At 47.2% G+C, this 6,000-nt stretch overlaps 1 annotated feature.

Moving 5' to 3' along the window:
• Positions 1,446-2,115: an enhancer, noted in NCBI's record as "NANOG-H3K27ac-H3K4me1 hESC enhancer chrX:102358711-102359380 (GRCh37/hg19 assembly coordinates)". NCBI's record gives its function as "activates a minimal SCP1, AML or CMV promoter by ChIP-STARR-seq in primed H9 embryonic stem cells {active_cell/tissue: H9 hESC(primed)}" and the evidence as "EXISTENCE:reporter gene assay evidence [ECO:0000049][PMID:30033119]".

The following is a 6,000-nucleotide window of genomic DNA, read 5'->3' as shown; positions in this document are numbered from 1 at the left end:
CTGCCTCCCAGGTTCATGCCATTCTCCTGCCTCAGCCTCCCAAGTAGCTGGGACTACAGGCGCCCACCACTACACTCGGCAAATTTTTTTGTATTTTTAGTAGAGACGGAGTTTCACCATGTTAGCCAGAATGGTCTTGATTTCCTGACCTCGTGATCTGCCCCTCTCGGCCTCCCAAAGTGCTGGAATTACAGGCGTGAGCCACTGCGCCCGGCTGGGATCCCTAATTTCTAAAGATCTGAGTACGTCACATTTCAGTAGACCTGCCTTAGTTATGCATAAGGTTTCTAGCCCCAGGCAGGGCTTGGTGGTTCAGACTTATAATCTCAGCACTTTGTGAGGCTGAGGAGGGAGGATTGTTTTGGGTCAGGAGTTTGAAACCAGCTGTCTCTAAGACAAAAAAATAAAAATAAAAAAATTAGATGAGCCTGGTGGCACATGCCTGTAGTCCTAGCTACTAGGGAGGCTGAGGCTGGAGGATCCCTTGAGCACAGGAATTCGAGGCTGCAGTAAGCTATGATTGCACCACTGCCTTTCAGTCTAGGCAACAGAGTGAGCCAATATTAAAAAAAAAAAAATTCTCCCTCTCCCTCTCCCTCTCCCCACGGTCTCCCTCTCCCTCCCTTTCCATGGTCTCCCTCTGATGCCGAGCCGAAGCTGGCCTGTACTGCTGCCATCTCGGCTCACTGCAAACTCCCTGCCTGATTCTCCTGCCTCAGCCTGCCAAGTGCCTGCGATTGCAGGTGTGCGCCGCCACGCCTAACTGGTTTTCATATTTTTTTGGTGGAGACGGGGTTTCGCTGTGTTGGCCGGGCTGGTCTCCAGCTCCTAACCGTGAGTGATCCGCCAGCCTCGGCCTCCTGAGGTGCCGGGATTGCAGACGGAGTCTCGTTCACTCAGTGCTCAATGGTGCCCAGGCTGGAGTGCAGTGGCGTGATCTCGGCTCGCTACAACCTCCACCTCCCAGCCGCCTGCCTTGGCCTCCCAAAGTGCCGAGATTGCAGCCTCTGCCCGGCCGCCACCCCGTCTGGGAAGTGAGGAGCATCTCTGCCTGGCCACCCATCCTCTGGGATGTGAGGAGCCCCTCTGCCTGGCTGCCCAGTCTGGAAAGTGAGAAGCGTCTCTGCCCGCCCGCCATCCCATATAGGAAGTGAGGAGCATCTCTGCCCGGCCGCCCCGTCTGAGAAGTGAGGAGCCCCTCCGCCTGGCAGCTGCCCCGTCTGAGAAGTGAGGAGACCCTCCGCCCGGCAGCCACCCTGTCTGGGAAGTGAGGAGCGTCTCTGCCCGGCAGCCACCCCGTCCAGGAGGGAGGTGGGGGGTCAGCCCCTCGCCCGGCCAGCCGCCCCATCCGGGAGGGAGGTAGGGGGTCAGCCCCCTGCCCGGCCAGCCGCCCCGTCCGGGAGGGAGGTGGGGGGGTCAGCCCCCGCCCGGCCAGCCGCCCCATCCGGGAGGTGAGGGGCACCTCTGCCCGGCCACCCCTACTGGGAAGTGAGGAGCCCCTCTGCCCGGCCACCACCCTGTCTGGGAGGTGTACCCAACAGCTCATTGAGAACGGGCCATGACGACAATGGCGGTTTTGTGGAATAGAAAAGGGGGAAAGGTGGGGAAAAGATTGAGAAATCGCATGGTTGCTGTGTCTGTGTAGAAAGAAGTAGACATGGGAGACTTTTCATTTTGTTCTGTACTAAGAAAAATTCTTCTGCCTTGGGATCCTGTTGATCTATGACCTTACCCCCAACCCTGTGCTCTCTGAAACATGTGCTGTGTCAACTCAGGGTTAAATGGATTAAGGGCGGTGCAAGATGTGCTTTGTTAAACAGATGCTTGAAGGCAGCATGCTGGTTAAGAGTCATCACCACTCCCTAATCTCAAGTACCCAGGGACACAAACACTGCGGAAGGCCACAGGGTCCTCTGCCTAGGAAAACCAGAGACCTTTGTTCACTTGTTTATCTGCTGACCTTCCCTCCACTATTGTCCTATGACCCTGCCAAATCCCCCTCTGCAAGAAACACCCAAGAATGATCAATAAAAAAAAATAAATAAAAAATTTCTGGCCCCAGAAGCAACAAATTTTTACAAAAGTGACAAAATTTTACTAAAGATAATCGATAATCTAGTATTATGATGGCCATTATGTGGAATGCAATCTAAGAAAGTGTACTTGAATTCTCAGCCTCTTGAAGGCAGAGAAAATGGAATTCCTATTGGCATGTAGAAGGTTGGAGTAGACAACAGGACTCTAAAATAGCTTTTCTAAAAGACTAATTGCAAAAAGTTAGTAAAAAGCTAAAAATGCAAGATATCCCCTATATAAAGGACCGTAAAACTTACCTAACTCTTAGTGCTTCCCTTTAATTTACGTTGCCTGGAATATTCCCAGTGTACTAAACAATTCAGTGTCTGAATTGCATTTCCTTTCTGAAAAAAAAGGAAAGTTCGGCTGGGCGCGCAGTGCCTCATGCCTGTAACCCCAGCACCTTGGGAGGTTGAGGCGGGTGGATCATCTGAGGTCAGGAATTCGAGACTAGCCTGGTCAACATGGTGAAACCCCGTCTCTACTAAAAATACAAAAATTAGCAGTGCATAGTGTCATAAGCTTGTAATCCCAGCTACTTTGGAGGCTGAGGCAGGAGAATCGCTTGAACCTGGGAGGCAGAGATTGCAGCAAGCTGAGATCCTGCTATTGCATTCCAGCCTTGGCTACAAGAACAAAACTCTGTCTCAAAAAAAAAAAAAAAGGAAAGTTAAACAGTTTCCTTATAAGGTAGAAACACTCCAAAATTCTGGAGATAGTCCACTATTTGATTATACTTTCTGGACAAAAAATGGAGGCCAGGACCACAGTTTAAAAATTTCCAAACTCAGCCGGCCGCAGTGGCTCAAGCCTGTAATCCCAGCACTTTGGGAGGCCGAGGTGGACGGATCACGAGGTCAGGAGATCGAGACCATCCTGGCTAACACCGTGAAACCCCGTCCCTACTAAAAATACAAAAGATTAGCCGGGCGCGGTGGTGGGCACCTGTAGTCCCAGCTACTCAGGAGGCTGAGGCAGGAAAATGGCATGAACCCAGGAGGCGGAGCTTGCAGTGAGCCGAGATCACACCACTGCACTCCAGCCTGGGCGACAGAGCAAGACTCCATCTCAAAAAAAAAAAAAAAAATTCCTAAGATCTTCAAAAGTTTTCTGAAGAATTCAGGCCAGAGTCTTAGAGACAAAGTCTTGCTCAGTCACTCAGCAGGCTGGAGTACAATGGCCTGATCATAGCTCACTGCAGCCTCAAACTCTTGGGCTCAAGCAATCCTCCTGAGGTTGCTGGGATTACAGGCATGAGCCACTGTGCCTGACAAAACAAAATTCAAAGTCTTAATTGTAACTTTTTTCTTAAACAGAATCTCACTCTGTGCCCAGGCTGGAGTGTAGTGGCACTATCTCAGCTCACTGCAGCCTCTGCCTCCCAGGTTCAGGGGATTCTCGTGCCTCAGCCCCCAGAGTAGCTGGGATTATAGGCGTGTGCCACCACACCCAGCTAATGTTTATATTTTTAGTAGAGAAGGGGTTTCACCATGTTGGGCAGGCTGGTCTCCAACTCCTGACCTCAAGTGATCAACCCACCTTGGCCTCCCAAAGTGCTAGGATTGCAGGTGTAAGCCACCGCGCCCGGCCCTTAATTGTAATTTATGATGCCTTATGATACTTGACCTCTACCACCTAATACATTTGGTGGGACCTGGGGAGACCCAAAAAGGTAAAAGAGGTAGAATAATCTCTTGAGAATGGTATCTGTAAGAATTAAAGAAAGAGGAAAGAAACACAAAAAGTTTATTTTAGAGAAAACAAATCTGAGAAGGGTGTCTGGCCAAGTTAGGTCAGAGGCACACTCTCTTACAGACTAAGAGTTTTCAAGGATTCAGGGTGGGAAAGTTTATCAGAGGCTTGGACTGCTTCTGTGTCTCTTTGTTGTGCTTATCTGGGAGGGACAATTGTGTGTCTGTTCCCATATATCTTTCTGCAGCTGCAGGCATACCCCCCGCCGCCTCCCTGAGTCTGCTTTTAGCTTCCTTATCTTAGTGTACCCAAAGGGAAAGGAATGTGCTTATTAAGGCCCACTATTTTACTGGGGCCCATTGTATGAGGGTGAAGTTTGGCAGTTACCCAAGAGACTTTCCTCCCACCTCCCTCTGTGCCCGAGCTGTCTTATCTGTATTTTACTGTCTGCTCTTTCTGGCTGCTTGTAGTTAGAAGAAAAGTGATTTCCTTGAAATGCATGAGGCTGGAAAAGGAGCTGGAACTTAAAATGGCAGTGTTTGTCTGAGATGATGGTGCTCCTGCTCTGTCAATATCAAGGACCTCACAAGCCCCATCTGGTCTACTTATGGGCCAGGCAAAGCCAGAAAGACTCAGATGACCTTTTGAAAGCCATTCCCAAAGTGTTTCAGCTCCATGGCAACCAACAACCTAGAATGACTTCTAGACTTGTCCTAGAGCACTTCTCCAATAAGGGACCCCTGAAACAGCAGTTTCTGAAGTATTGTTGCCATTTGTGCAAACAACTAGGACACTGAAAAAGGGAGTGCCCCCAAAGATTTCCAAGAAAGCCCCTGAAAACAGGCTGCCCACTCCCTCTGATAATAATCTTCATGTTAACACCAGGATTTATAGGCCCCCAAGGAATACTCAGGGTTAAGTTTCTACCAGTTATTTTTTGTCCTTTTCATTAAAGGGCTCTTCCCTGAAGTCAGTAATCAAATTAACAAAAAATCTAAATTGAAAAGACTAACTATGAAATGAAATCTTTACAACTGGTCGGGCTCAGTGGCTCATACCCATAATCCCAGTGCTTTGGGAGGCTAAGGTGGGAGGATCACTTGAGGCCAGGAGTTCAAGGCCAGCCTGGGCAACATAGGCAGACCCCCTCCCTAAAAAAAAAAATTAGCCACACTTGGTGGCCTGCACCTGTAGTCCCAGTTGCTTGGGAGGCTGCAGTGGGAGGATTGCTTGAGCCCATGAGTTTTAGGCTGCAGTGAGCTTTGATGGTGATAGTACGCTACAGCCTGGGTGACAGAGAGAGACGTCTCTAAAAATATACATAAAATAAAATACAACTTTATGACATTTAATTGGCTATTTTGAAACTCTCTGTAAAAGAAATTTGCATCTGTAAAGGAAATCCCCATTAGTAAGGTTGTCTCCCTTTCTGCACCTAAACCACTAGAAACTTTAACAACGGGAAAGGTGGTGGCTTAGTTTACGTTAACAGTCTTACCAATGTTTAAGGTGCCTTTTCTAGCCATCTTGTCTTAATTGGAGGTTTACCTATGCCTTTTTTTGTTTTGACAAATAATAGGGTTTCTATTAATGAAGTTTCTATATTGTTCTAAGTACTGTAAATTGTCTTGTTTTATCTGAAAGTCATCTTTTTTTTTGGAAGTGCAAATTGTAGAGTTGCCTGGCTAACAATTGCTTCGGGCAACGGAATGGGTGATTGAAAGTTTGATGGGCTAAAGGGGGGAAAGTATTTCAAAACTGGCAAAGGAAGAATCTTAATAAAGCTATAAAATCTGCTTCTTTTTCCACGCCTATGTGTGTTATGCTTATGTAATATTTCTCAACCAAAATGTGTAAGAGACTCTGACTGATTGACTTAAAGAAAAAGTGCTTAAATCAAATATTTTATCAAAAAATAGAACCTAACTCAAATACCTTTTGGCTTATGTGACTTGAGTAAATTTTTGGTAAATAAGACTGGAAACAATTGTGTCTTCTGATCAGCAAAAATACCCATGTATTTAACTTTCGGATTTTTGATTAAGTGGCCAATGCCTAACATTTTTATGCTGTAAAAATGATTAACAGAATAACTGGAGATGGTGGTTAGTTTTATTCAATGTCTCATAGAATTTTCATGATCTTGTGTCAGGTCAAATCAGTCTGGTTGGGCAAATTCTTATGAGGGTGGTGAGGGGAATGTTTCAAAATGACTCAGTGACTAATTAAATT

This window comes from Homo sapiens, chromosome X (assembly GCF_000001405.40).
Source record: "Homo sapiens chromosome X, GRCh38.p14 Primary Assembly".
NCBI classification, from domain to species: domain Eukaryota; kingdom Metazoa; phylum Chordata; class Mammalia; order Primates; family Hominidae; genus Homo; species Homo sapiens.
This window is presented reverse-complemented; position numbering and strand designations above follow the sequence as displayed.